Here is a 14,067-nt window from a genome sequence, read left to right on the forward strand (position 1 = left end):
AAATACAAAAAAATTAGCCAGGTGTGGTGGTGCATGCCTGTAATCTCAGCTATTAGAGAGGCTGAGGCAGGAGAATCACTTGAACCCCAGGAGGCGGAGGTTGCAGTGAGCCAAGATCACCCCACTGCACTCCAGCCTGGGAGACAGAGTGAGACTTTGTCTCAAAAAAAAAAAAAAAAAAAAGAAAAGAAAAAGGAATGGGGAGAGGGGGGAGGGATAGCTTTAGGAGATATACCTAATGCTAAATGACGAGTTAATGGGTGCAGCACACCAGCATGACACATGTATACATATGTAACTAACCTGCACATTGTGCACATGTACCCTAAAACTTAAAAGTATAATAATAATAAAATAAAATAAAATAAAAAGGAAAACTATGGCCCAGACTCCTGGAGGGGCTACGGCCACACCCAAACACCCCAAATGTAAGGCCTCCCGCCACCCGCTGGCCACTCTCCACCCAGTGTCCCAGGGCTTGCCCCACTCCTCTCTCACTTCAGCTTGGTTGGGTAAGGGTCAGTCCCTTACAGGACCTAATAAAATTATCTATCACCTCCTCTTGCCCTAGGCTGGGTCTGTCCGCTCCAGCTTTCTAGCCTGGCTACTGCTCAAGGGAAGAGGGATTCCACAGGAGAGCCCTTTGAGGAGAGATGGACCCCAACGCTAGGCCCCTCGACATCCTTCAGGCACACACCTGTATGCTCAGACCCACCTGGCAACACACACACACTCACTCACTACTGGTCTCTACATTCCTTGTTTGCAACCAGGCTATGGCCAGAGAAAATAAAGGTGTCATAGGTTAGTTACACAAGGCAGACATTTTTGGTGGAATCACTCAGTCCAGTTTAAACAAAGACAGCAGTGAGCTGTTTGGTTTTTCATCCTGGGTACTCTTCTGTTGCATTCTACGTTTATTGAAAGCTATGGAGAACAGCCTTCAAGCTACTGTGGAAAACTCTCTCTCTTTCACTCACACACACACACACACACACACACACACACACACACACCAGCCTGCAGGCACTCTGGAGAGAAGAGGGGAGAGGGAAAGGCAATACAAGAAGGCCAGGAGTGAAAAAGTCCTTTCTCCCTGGGGGTGGGGAGGGGACAGAGGGTTAAGGGGGGCTGGGGGCCTGTTTCATTTGCAGGCTGCAAATGCCTCTCCTATTCACCGGCCCACATTCCCAGCCAAGGCGCCTGGCCGCTGACAATGCCAGGAACAGGAACAGAGAAGATTTGCACATTGTGTTTAAGGGGCCAGCTGGCTGCCTGTGACAGTGGAGCCAAGGTGTGGGAACCAGAAGCGTTCGACTTCCACACTCAAGTTCTGCGGGTGGGGGTGAGTGGAGGCCCTGCACACAGAGTAAGGGGGCCCTCCCCCTACAGTTGGGGGCCAATGAGCCTGGGGACATAGGCCTTGTCTAGCTAGAGAGTAAAGCCCAAGGCAGGAGACCCAAGACCCCTGCATGGAGGGGGTACCAGGCAATTTAGTCTCTGATTCACACCCCATCTGGTGAGGAAGAGAGAATCTCAGTTCCTCTAGAGATAAACACGCGGCAGCAGCACCCCAGGATCCTGCCCCGCGTGCATTATATTCCCCTGCCCATCCTCCCCGTTCACAAGCTTCTGTTCCTTTGAGCTGTGCTATCAATTACAAGGGGGGTGGGGTGGGGAGCAAAAGAGAAGCAGAGAGAGAAACAGAGGAGAGACAGAGAGACAGCTTTGTCCCAGAAGGCCACATGTTCATTTAGTTTTTACCAGGCTCCACAGGCAGGGGACATGAGAAATACAAAAGAAAGAAGCCCTTTAGGAGCTTAAAATCTAGTTGAGGAGACAGATGGAATATCCAGCCACAAAACAGTTACTTAACAATGCAAGCAGCCATCACCAAGAGGGTTTAGCGTGAATGCCACAGACCACAAATGCTCCCTGCCTTAGGAAGGGGAGGAAGATATGACTGTAAGCAGGATGGTCTTTGGGGAGGGATCAGGTATGGGAAGAACCAGGCAGAAATAGACTTGGAGGAGGCCCAGGGGAGGCAGGCACGTCTTGAAGATGGATGGAAGGAAGCCTTCGTACCCCAGAGCAGAGGTGAGCCTCAGTCCAACCCCCTCACCTTATAATCAGAAAAGCAAGGCCCAGAGAGGGTGGGCAACTTGTCCACAGCCACACAGGATCCCTGGTGTCCAGACAAGGGCTTTTCTACCACACAACTTCTCAGCGGTGTCAGAAAGGGTCAGTTTGTGCAGTGCTGACTGGCAGGTTAAAGTGTCTGAACCCCATCCATTTGCACCTACCTATGAGCTGAGGCTGGGTACAGGTGAGGCCCTGACATGAGGGTAGGCCTAGGTATGGGCACTCACTCATCGCTGGGGACAGCAGCTTCCTGTCCTAATGGACAGGCAGATGTGTGTGTTTGAGGAGCTGCGGGGGAGACTTCCTCAGGCCTCCCTCAGTTAAGCGGGAGAAGAACTTCATTCCTTCAAGAAGGAGAGAAGAACTTGCATTCCACACACCAGGCCTGAGCAACTAACCTCCAGGTGATAGAGGCCTCCAGGGTTACCAGCCACTGTGCCAGGAACTACCTCCCTCCATGACCCACCTCCCTACACAGGGCACCCTAAATACCAGGCTGTACTCCCCAGCAGCTCCTGCCCGCAGTTCTCCTAACCCCCACTCCAACCTGGTTCCACAGACCTCCACCCAGACCCTGCCCCCAGAGCCACACACCATGAGCCTTTTTGCTGAAAAGGGACTCTAGAATAGCTGGTGAAACTGCCTTCCCTCTGACAAGTTAAAATGATTCAGACTTCAGAAGTAGGAACTGAGGGCCTGAGAGGCTAGGTGACTTATTGAGGCGGAGAGAGCAGGGGACTAGAACTGGACTTTCTCTCCTCTCCCCATGTCCCACTGCCTCTTTCTAGGAGTCTGGAGTCACCAGGGACCTTTCCGGGAATGATACCACAACTAAAGGAGCTCATAATTTAACATGTTTTCACCTCTGTTAGCTCCTCAAAATGATAATAGTTAATATTATTAGTACCTGGCTGGACACGGTGGCTCACACCTGTAATCCCAGCACTTTCGGAGGAAGTGTGTGGATCACTTGAGGTCAGGAGTTAGAGACCAGCCTGGCCAACATGATGAAACCCTGTCTCTACTAAAAATATAAAAATTAGCCTGGCATGGTGGCAGGAACCTGTAATCCCAGCTACTCAGGAGGTTGAAGAAGGAGAATTGCTTGAACCCGGGAGGCAGATGTTGCAGTGAGCTGAGATTGCACCACTGCACTGGGTGATAGAGCGAGACTTGGTCTCAAAAAAAAAATATATATATATATATATATATTTATATATATATGTGTGTGTGTATATATATATGTATGTATATATATGTATGTATATATATGTATGTGTATATATATGTATGTGTATATATATATATATATATATATATATAAAATTAGTACCTTAATAATAGTTAAGGAATGCTGCCTTTGTGCCCTGTGCTAAGCTCTTCCTGCACATTATCATAGGTAATCTTCACAATATTTCTCCTTGGTATTTTTTATTATTTTATATTATTCCTCCCCCATGTTATTTATTTATTTATTTAGTAGAGACAGGGTCTTGCTCTGTTGCCCAGGTTGCTCTCAAACTCCTGACTTCAAGCGATCCTCCTGCCTCAGCCTCTCAAAGTGCTGGGATTTACAGGCATGAGCCATCACATTCCCCCATTTTAAAGATGAAGAAGCCAAGGCTCAGAGAGGTGAAGTGACTTGGCCAAGATCTCACAGCTAGCAGGTGGTGGGGCCAAGGCCCAAGCCCACCAAGCCCAGGTCTGTTTGCCACCACAACCCACATTTAAACCACTGTTGGGCCTGCCCAGGCAAGATGGCCCCAGGCTGGGAGTGAGGGCAATCCTGGCTCTTGGAGAACCCAGCCAGGATTGAGACACCTGGGACCTCATCCTAAATTAGTGGGCAATACTGAGCACCAACAATAATACTTAGCATTTCCTACATGCCAAGCCCTGTGCCAGGTGCTTTAGACCCATCACCTCATTTACTCCTCCAATAGCCCTGACAGATGGATGGAATGGTGCACATTTTTTCAGATGAGGGTACAGACTCTCAAGAGGGCTAAGTAACTCCTGCCAAGGGCACTGATCATTGAGTGGCAGAGCTGGGGTTCAGACCCATGGAAGTCTGGCCCTGAAGCCCTTGTTCCAAAGGCTTCACTATGCTGCCTGAAAATCCCCACAGCGGAGGTTATGACATGGGTGTGGTCTCTGCTAGCCCCTTGCTACTCAGAGTACAGCCTGTGGACCAGCTGTATTGGCATTACCTGGGCTCTTGTCAGTCCTTGGCCTAGAATTATGAATTCAAAATCTCAATGTTATCAAGATTCCCAGGTGATTCACAGGCTCAGTAAGGTTTGGGAAGTCCTGCACTACATCATAGAGCTGATCACCCCAGTTCCCCAAGAGACCTGAGATCAAGAATTAAGGCTAGGAAAGAGGGGCAGGGATTGAGGGTGGCAGGGACTCGGGGTAGGTCCCCCATCCTCCTCCCTGTAGCTAGTCCATCCTTTTTGGAGTCATTCAGGCACACAGGCCTCAGGTATGAGTCAATGCACACATTCCCCTGGGTCAGCCCCTTTAGAGGGATAGCGGAGGGTCTCACAGGCCAGGCCAGCTTCAGTCCACACCCTGAGGCTTGGGAGAACCCTCAGTCCTCCCAGGAAGGGGTTAAAACAAAACAAGATGCACTCTGGCTCCAATAATTCCACTCCCTGATAGCTTTCCCTGGAGAACTCCCTAAATGAATCCCAGCGAGGGAGAAAGCAGGGGCCGGGAGCAGAATCAGGCAGTTTGCTTTTGCTGGAGATTAACCTCCATGGGCAGCCAAGATTACATTTAAAGGCCATGTCAGTGAAACCACCTTTCAATGAGGAGTGCGGTGCCGGCTCCCGTTACTCAGTGCTTCCTGCGTGCCAGGCAAAGTGTGGGGTGTGCTGGTCCTCACAGCCGCCCTACCAGGCAGGATCACATGCACGTTTCACAGGCAAGGAAACTGGGATGAGGGAGCATTAACTTGTCCAGGGTCTCGTCCTTAACAAGTCTCAATTTTCAGCCCCCAAACTACAAGCACGTGGAGCTGCAATGCAGAGTCTAGGGCTCCTGAGCATGAATACTCTTAGGAGCCTGAGCTATTCCATTCTAAAAGGGAAACGCTTGAAACTGAAGCCCCAAGGAATCAGCCCGCGGTGTAGCCACCTTGGTCAGGCTGTCTTTTGAGGACAGCATCTGAACCCCCTGATGGAAGGGCGTGCATTTCCAACCATCCGCCTCTGGCCCGGAGCTCAGATGCCCAGCAGACCCACCGACATAGACCTGAACACCCATCTGCCTCCCTGGGTTAGTCTGCTGGGTGAACTGTGAGTCTGCGAGGGGTGCTTAGCATGCCCCCTCCCCACGGGCCCCTGAGGAGCAGGCAGAAGAAGCAGGGGCCTCCAGAGGCCTCCTCACACCTTTTCAGAAAGGCACCCTCCTGTGTCACACAACATCTGCAGTGCCGGCAGGCACACGGGCAGGGAGTTATTACGAAGGAGGAAACCCAGGCAGCTAATCAGCTTTGGAGGTTTCTAGGGACATCAGCCTGTGAAGTGAGAAAAGCGGATCCAGCCGCACCGTTGCTTGGCATCTGAGCATTCTCCCATGGGACCACAGCCTTGCAGGGGAGAGAGGGCCATGTCAGACTGCCAGAGCTTGGAGGCAAACCCCCCAGCTGTCTCCAGGACCCCAAAGGATTAACCAAGCTGACCCCACCCACAGCTTAATTTCTTGTACTATATTGTTAGGAGTTTAAGGAAACCAAACATCTTGAAGGTATTACCATTTATAAAAAAAAGCACATTTACAATTAGCTATATATATATAAGCCCCTGGGGATTTATCTCCCAGGATTCTAGGCTGGTGATGCAAAGGCCTCAGCAGGGGCCATCTATATCTCAGCATTGACACAGGCCAGGGAGGGTATGGGGAGCATCTCCCTGAGGAGTCTCATCTCTCTGATCTGCAAATCTTACCGGGGTCCCCACCCTCTGTCCACGCTTCCCTTCCTCACACCCAGCCATCTGCTCAGAGGCTGCACCAGCCTTCCCCTGCACTGCCGGGAGGGCCGAGAGATGAGGGTGGCTGAGCCAGAAGTGATTTGGTCTCAAAGTCCAGGGCTGCCTCCCAGCGAACTCCATATGGGGGCCTGGATCTGCCTTCCTCAGAACAAAGGGGCATCTTAAACCCAGCGAGAGGGCTCCTGCCTCAAACTGATTCATCACTCACCAGCCGTTCAGAGCAACTGTGCAAATGCCCTCAGAGCCAGGAAGAAACTTGTCAGCGATCAGACAGGAAAGAGGCGGCGTGCCACGGGAGCTAAGTGGGAGGGTGTGGGTTCAGGCTGCCCAGATGACAGTCCTGGCTCTTCTGCTACCAGAATGCCATTGAGTCCCCCTAAGGCTCAGTTTTCTCTTCTGTAAAAGGGGGATGATAATGACCTATCTTCCATTCTCCCAGGGCTGTTGTGATGACAAAATGAAGTAATTCATGTAAAGCACTTGGACAGGGTGCCCAGCATGCAGCAAGTACTTAAAAAGTGTTAGCTAGACCTGGGTGCAGGAGCTCACGCCTGTAATCCCAGCACTTTGGGAGGCTGAGGCGGGAGGATCACTTGAGGCCAAGAGTTCGAGACCAGCCCGGCAAACATGGTGAAACCCCATCTTTACCAAAAAATTCAAAAATTAGCCGGGCGTAATTGTGCGCACCTGTAATCCCAGCTACTGGGGAAGCTGAGGCACAAGAATTGCTTGAACCCGGGAGATAGAAGTTGCAGTCAGTCGAGATCGTGCCACTGCACTCCAGCCTGGGTGACAGAACAAGACTCTGTCTCAAAAAAAGAAAAAAAATGTTAGCTAGAATTGTTACCAACAATAGTCAAAGCAGCCTCTTTAAAGGGACACCCCCCCTTCCAGAGGTCCAGAGATATGAGATGGAGAACAATTTCCACTTGCCAAAACTTCTGCCCTTTTTCAGCCATGACCCCACTGCCCACAGCTCGCCACCTCCCTGGGATACATGGAGAATTTTGGTTTATGCAACACACTCCCAGTGTGCACAGATTCAACAATAACATAATTTTTGCAGGACAGGGCAGTTAAACCACAGTCATCATTTCATCACCACAATTGACGATCAAGCAGCACAAGCAAAGCACAATTCTAGAGCTGAAACATCTTGCCTCGCCTTTTCTCTCCCATTCAAAAACACACATTAGCATGAAGGTGAGTAGGAGTGATGTCATCATTGAGATAATTCTGAAATTATCCTACCATATTTTTTTAATGCAAACTATTAACAAGCTCCAGAATTTCATTACTGGTATATAGAGGTCTTATCCTACCCAAAGGTTTACATTAGTTTAAGCACATAATTAAAAATTGCATGTAGCCGAAATTACCCTTCAAGAATTTCTTTAATCACCCTTAAAGTATGGGAATGATTTATCTTTATACACAAGAATCAAACTCAGTGCACCGGGATGCTCAAAGTATGAAAGGCATATGGAAACTAAGACATGCTGACCCAAGAACTGGGTAAAGCTTTCTCCCCGACTCCCCTATGGGTGTTTGGCTACATTCTTGTCAATTCACATTCCAGTCAGTTAAACAAGCATCTGATATAATTCCACCGCCACGAATCACTGCCAGGCACCTCAAAACCGACCCATGCTGAGAAATTAGTCCTCCAGAAGGCTGCATAAGATGGGACTGCTCCCGCTGCCCTCATGCCCTAGGCTGACCCTGGATCACCAGCTGGCTTACACAAAGGGAAAACAAGGGATATCCACTTACTTGCAGCTTGGATGCGAGCCTTCCGGCTGACCACCAGCCCAAAGCGGTTCTGGGCCACACACTCATAGTCACCTTCATCCGAAGGGCTGCCTCCCGGCTCCAGCCTGAAGTGACGGATCATCAAGGACCCATTGGCCAGCAAGGTGGAGTGGGTACTCTCTGGCAGCTCTACCCCATTCTTCCTCCAGGTGATTCGCACTGGAGGGGTCCCCTCCACCCTGCAGTCCAGCACTATAGGCTGCCCGGGGACGGCAACATCATCACTTGGCTCCACAGCAAATGCCAGTTCAGCAGAGTGGCCAAGACCTGCATTGGGGAAGGGGAGATGGAAGGAAATAGGGGTGTTAGTATGAAATGAACATCCAGGAAGAACTCCACCCACATGGTTCCAAGTTCCTTGGGTCTATGCACCCCATCCCCATGTTTCTGTAATGTTAATAGGAATTCCTATTATATATAGAACTTTATGCATTACAAAGTGCCATCCAAGGCGGTACTTTACTTAATCATCAGACCATCTCAGAGATAGATATTATTTGTACTATTTCCTCTTTCACAGGTAAGAAAACTGAAGCCCAGAGATGTCAAGTGACTTGCCCAGGGTCTCACAGTCAGTAGTTGCAAAACTGAGACCCAAAAGCAAGACTGACTCCAATACAGATGCTGCTACTTCGATGGTCACCCTGGATAAGCACTGAAGCCTCACAGACCTTCAGGGTGTGACCTTAGGTAAAGTATTCAACATGTCCTGGATTCCCATTTCTCATCTGTTTAGATCAAAGAAGAACAATGGAGCTTGGGTCATAGGGTTGTATGACATGATTAACAGACTCAAAGGCACTATGAAAAATTTAAAGTTCTAAAGAAATACAGAGGGAGATAGTAATAAATCATGCTTCTTTTTGCTGGCCAAAACCCATCAGATGCCTGGTCCAATGCCTGGCAGGGAGCAGGGTGTGTGGTCCCAGTACCCGGGGTACAGACTAGGTTGTGGCCCCATTGCCCCTCTCCTCTGGCACTCTGGGTGTTGGTCCTTTTGCCTTTGTCATAGGGAGAGATGAAGAGTAGCAAACACCAACTATGGTTTCCCAAAACCAAGGAAGAGGGTGCTCCTAGAACCTTTACTTCCAGCCAACCTCTCTGCTCCTGCAGAAGAGAAATGAGCAGGAAAAGAAGGAGGCCAAAGAATAGATGGGGTTAAGGCCAATCAGAGAATCAGAAGCCCGGCTGGAGGGACAAGCACTCCAATCCCAGGCATGATGCCAAGTCACCAACTTCTCCAGCAAACAACTTACCAGACCAGTTACAACTCCACTCGAGGAGGAATGAACCCACCTGGTCTGAAATGGCAGTCACAGACCCCTCCTCACATTTCCAGATAACTAGCGATCCTGGAGCTGGCCCCTCCCCAGCAGACTAGGGCCCTCCCTGGCTGAGGGAGATGGGGAAATGGGTGGGGAGAAAGGAGGGGCGTTGGGGTTATAGGCATTCCCCGCCCAGCGCCCCCCGCGCCCCCCTCCCCCCGTCCCCGGCCCAGGAAGATGTAATGTTTTAAGACTTTTTAGGATCGCACTTATTCAAACCCCTGCGCATCCTCCCCATGTCGTGAGTTCACCCGTCTTAGCCCCGAATCCAACCCTGGTATAGCTGTCGGGAATAAAGTTTTTCCTTGATGCGGACGCGAGCTTCTACTTCTTGGGAGAGGAGTGGAGAGAGAATAGCCCAGATGAGTGTCTGTGGGGAACTTGAGGTGGGAGGGTTAAGGGACTAGATTTGCACTCTCCTCCCGGGAGATGGGACCATTGCAGCCACTAAAGGGAACAGAGTGGTGGTGACCGAGCTCCAGGCAGCAGAGCCGAGCTCCAGGCAGCAGAACCGGCGGACCGCGAGAGCCAGGGCAAGGTCTCCGCGTGTGCACACTTCGGGGAAGGGCAGGGGCACGTGAGCATCCCCGCGGCTCGCTCGCTCTCGCTTTCGGTGGCTTCTCCTCTCCTTCTTGGCTCACGGGCTCTGTCCCGGGTCGCTCCCTAGCCACGCGCCGCCCTCCAGGAATCTCCCTCGTCTTCTCCTGTCTCTCCCGCGCACTCCTCAGCCCAGTACCAGCTCCAAATGCAGGTCGTGCCATCTCCGCCCAGTGCAGCCGTCAGAGTCCCGGTCTCCGCTCCCCAGGCTGCTGTCCCCTGTCTTGGCTGCCTCGGGCTATGTCCACGGCCGGGCACCCAGCACCCCAGCTCGTCCGCCTCGGTCAGCGCTTAGCCTTGCGGTCTCCCCTGGCTCGTTTCCCTCGGTCTCCACGCCAGCCCGCCCCGCTTGCTCCCGCTTCGCTGCACTCCTTGCTCCTCAGTCTGGGCTCCGGGTCCTGCCCCAGTCTTCCTCCGGGGGGTTCCGTCCTCAACACGCCCCTAGGGCCCCCAGCAGTCCGGCCTTGGTACCCTCTCCCCGTCCGGATCCGCAGGGTCCCCCCCGCGCGGGGTCCGCCCTCAGGTCCGCGCCGCTCTCCCCGGGTCCGCCCCTCGCGCCCGCTCCCTCCCTGCTCGCCCTTCCCCTGGCTCCGTCCGCAACCGCCCGGTCCGGGGCGCTTTCACTCACCCTCGCTCGGCGCGGGCAGCAGCAGCAACAGCAGCGGCAGCAGGAGCCGGGGCCAGAGCGGGGCGGGCGGGCGGCGCGGAGACGCGGCGCGCTGCACAGCCATGGGGCTCTCGGTCAGCTCGGCTCGGCGACGCGCGGCTCCCGGGCCTCTCGCGGCTCACAGCGTCCCGCGGGGCCGGCGCCGGGGCCGGGGCTGGGGCTCCGGCCGGGGCCGAGCCCAGGCGGTGGGGGACTGGGGCCGCATGCCTGCTCAGCAGCGCGGGGGGCGCAGGGGGAGCGCCGCTTGCGCCATCTTGCACCCACCCGGGCGATCTGTCAGCCTCGCCCGGGGTGCGCGCTCCACACTCGCACCGCTCGCGGCCGCCCCGCCCTCCTCCCCAGCCCGCCGCCCCCCTCCTCTCTGCTCCCGGTCCCCTCCCCCAGCCCCCTCTCCCCGGAGGCCCGGTCTGGGGAACAAAAGAGCCGGCGAGCGCTTTAAGCGGCCGGACATTCCCGGCTGCGCGGCGGACGCGCCCCCTGCGCTTTGAACTGTGGCTGGAGCGGCCGGCGCCGTCCCGGGCTGCAGCCGGGTATCCCCTCCCCGCGGGCCAGCCGGGGACCTGGGGGGCTGAGGAAGTGGACACCAGCGGACTGGGGAGTGGGTCCGGGCTGCGGAAAGACACACAGCTGCGGGATTTGCTCTGACCCACTCTTTCTGCTGCGCCCTCCTCCAAGTCCATATTTTAGAGATAATTCTCTAAAAAGCTGCGTAAAGTTGTCAAAGATTCAGTTTTCCATGGATTTCTGGTCCTTCCACTCAAAGGATAGATCCTGTAGCTGCAAGCTTGGCTTCTCTGGACCGAGGAGTCCTGGCGCTCCGCTGGGGAGGATTGCCTGGAGAGAGCAGACCCAGCAGCAGGACAATGAGAGCTCTAAAGGGGCCTGGCTTCCGACCTGGGTTCTGCCTGCTGCCTAGCCCAGTCACTCTCACTGAGCTCATCTGAAAGATGAAAATAATCTTATCTCTCCTGTTCATCCCTAGAGACCTTTAAACCGCAGAGGTCCTGACAAATGACCTGGTAACTGGAAAAGCACATAGAAAGTTAAAATTCCCAGTAACGTTTCTGTGCCACAAAGAAGGCCCTCAATCGTTCATGTCAGAGAACATATAAGGAGACAACAGAGGTCCCACGTGAGAATGTTACAGAAGATAAGCATGTCTTTTAGCAGAGACATACCCATACTAGCCCTCAGAGATCTTGAATCTCAGCCACTCTCTATTAAATGGTCTTCTGTTGAGTCCAGCATGATGGACTAGTCCATCAAAATTATTGAGCAGCTACTAAGTTCTAGGAGCTAGAGAATTAAAGCTGGCAGGCTAGGCTTAGTGGCTCACACCTGTAATCCCAGCACTTTGGGAGGCCGAGGTGGGCAGATCACTTGAACCCAGGAGTTCAAAACCAGCCTGGGCAACATGGTGAAAACCTGTCTCTACAAAAAATACAAACATTAGCCAAGCATGGCGGTGCATGCCTGGAGTCCCACTGTATTCCAGCCTGGGCAACACAGACCCTGTCTCAATAAATAAATAAATAATAAAAGTTGGCCTAATGTAGCTATTTGCTCCTTTGGCACTGGACTGGGATGGCAGAGGAAAAACTAAGTCTTTCTTTTGATACCAACTCTGGAACTTTGGGACCATGTACGAAACTAACGGTGGCTCACGCCTGTAATCCCAGCACTTTGGGAAGCTGAGGCGGGTGGATTACCTGATGTCAGGAGTTCGAGACCAGCCTGACCAATGTGATGAAACACCATCTCTACTAAAAATACAAAAAAATTAGCCGGGCGTGGTGGCAGGCGCCTGTAATCCCAGCTACTCGGGAGGCTGAGGCAGGAAAATAGCTTGAACCCGGGAGGCAAACGTTGCAGTGAGCTGAGATTGCACCATTGCACTCCAGCCTGGGCGACAGAGCAAGACTCCGTCTCGAAACAAACAAACAAACAAAAAACTAACTTTGATACGGATAAGTAAGGAAGTACAGGCCTCCAGAAATCAGAGTGCCTGTAGATGGACAGGTTTACTAATGATGAGGTTGGCATAGCTCAGGACTGTTCACTCTAGGGCAGCTACTGGAAGATGAGCCTGAGAAGCAGGACATGAGGCATGTGAACAGCGGGAAGCAATGGAAAAATTCTAGGTGGAGGACTCCAATGTGCCAAAGCCCTATTGGATTTCATTGTGAGAAAGGGTGGGAGTGGTGGTCTACTGGCCTTAGGAAAGGGAGGGGAAGGGCCCTCCCTGGGCCTAAAATCCTGGAACTCCCTCCTGCAGGGCTTGAATTCTCAACAACCCCTTCTTGGCTTGTCCTGGACTCTGAAGAGGTCAAATTGGTCTCTTGAATTGCTGTCATTTTAAATTCATTTTGACAAGTGTTTAATTCTTCTTTATCACAACCCTTGGTCTGAGAGTGATATGCAAATAATGGCTATTCTGCCGAGTGCAAAATGTGCAGTATCTCTCTGTCTGATCTGTCAATTAACTCTGGGTCTGGCCCACCACTTTGGGGGTGGTCCTGAGCAAAGCAGCCTCTAGCTCTTGATTCCCTCCAATAGAAAGCATGTTCCGGGCTCTGTAAAGATCTTAGCAGACAGCAGCTGCCAACTGTGATGCCAAGATGTGTGTGGGGTGTGAGTGTGGAGTTTTGTGTGTGAGACTGTGTGCACATTTGCATTAACGGACAGACACAAGGGTGTTTGTGAAGGCAAAGTATGCATGTGCGGGTCTCTGAGCTTGTACACACAGTGCACGTGTGTGTGATTGTGTGGCCATGAGTAATTTTGGTGACCAGAGTTATACAGGAGAATAGTTGTGGAGCCCAAATCTCTGGAGTTGTTCCCTCTTTCCTGCACCCAAAAAAGTTCAGAGAAATGTGTGCCCAGATGGAAAGAGATCCCCAGAGAGTCTAAGGAAGTGCCATCAAAGGACACATCTTTCCTAAGTTTACGTCTTTTTCCTAAGTGCCTGTTGAGGGAGGAAGATGGTTTAGTTCTTTCCCATGACCACCTGCTTTTTACCCTCAAAAACCACCATTTTGAGCCGGGCGCAGGGGCTTATGCCTGTAATTCCAGCACTTTGGGAGGCCAAGGCGGGCAGATTACCTGAGGTCAGGAGTTTGAGACCAGCCTGGCTAACATGGTGAAACCCCGTCTCTACTAAAAATACAAAAATTAGCCGGGTGTGGTGGTGCATGCCTGTAATCCCAGCTATTCGGGGGGCTGAGGCAGGAGAATCACTTGAACCCGGGAGGCAGAGGTTGCAGTGAGCCGAGATCATGCCACTGCACTCCAGCCTAGGCGACAAAGTGAGATTAGTCTGAAAAAACAAACAAACAAACAAACAAACAAACAAAACACTATTTTGGGCCAAGAGGCAGTGGCTCATGCTTGTAATCGAGCACTTTTCGAAGCTGGGGCAGGAGGATGGTTTTAGCCCAGGAGTTCGAGACCAGTCTGGGTAAGATAACGAGACCACATCTCTATAACAAAAATTTTTTTTAATATTAGCCAGGCATGGTGGCATGTG

General features: G+C 52.1%; 1 protein-coding gene across 3 annotated transcripts in view, besides 2 other annotated features; it reads right to left on the bottom strand.

Moving 5' to 3' along the window:
* IGDCC3 (immunoglobulin superfamily DCC subclass member 3) overlaps nucleotides 1-10,819 on the bottom strand; it is a 50,876-nt gene extending 40,057 nt beyond the window's left edge. For all 3 annotated transcript variants that reach the window (XM_011522241.3, NM_004884.4, XM_047433374.1), the window contains exons 1-2: nucleotides 10,503-10,819; nucleotides 7,914-8,219 (exon numbers count right to left, since the gene is read on the bottom strand). In XM_011522241.3, the coding sequence (XP_011520543.3) occupies nucleotides 7,914-8,219; nucleotides 10,503-10,605 (409 nt within the window). In that variant the 5' untranslated portion in view covers nucleotides 10,606-10,819. The remainder of the gene's footprint in view (nucleotides 1-7,913; nucleotides 8,220-10,502) is intronic.
* Nucleotides 196-1,059: an enhancer, noted in NCBI's record as "H3K27ac-H3K4me1 hESC enhancer chr15:65659717-65660580 (GRCh37/hg19 assembly coordinates)". NCBI's record gives its function as "activates a minimal SCP1, AML or CMV promoter by ChIP-STARR-seq in primed H9 embryonic stem cells {active_cell/tissue: H9 hESC(primed)}" and the evidence as "EXISTENCE:reporter gene assay evidence [ECO:0000049][PMID:30033119]".
* Nucleotides 1,060-1,923: an enhancer, noted in NCBI's record as "H3K27ac-H3K4me1 hESC enhancer chr15:65660581-65661444 (GRCh37/hg19 assembly coordinates)". NCBI's record gives its function as "activates a minimal SCP1, AML or CMV promoter by ChIP-STARR-seq in primed H9 embryonic stem cells {active_cell/tissue: H9 hESC(primed)}" and the evidence as "EXISTENCE:reporter gene assay evidence [ECO:0000049][PMID:30033119]".
* Nucleotides 10,820-14,067: the final 3,248 nt, after the last annotated feature.

The sequence above is a fragment of the Homo sapiens genome, chromosome 15, assembly GCF_000001405.40.
Source record: "Homo sapiens chromosome 15, GRCh38.p14 Primary Assembly".
In the NCBI taxonomy this organism is placed as follows: Eukaryota; Metazoa; Chordata; class Mammalia; order Primates; family Hominidae; genus Homo; species Homo sapiens.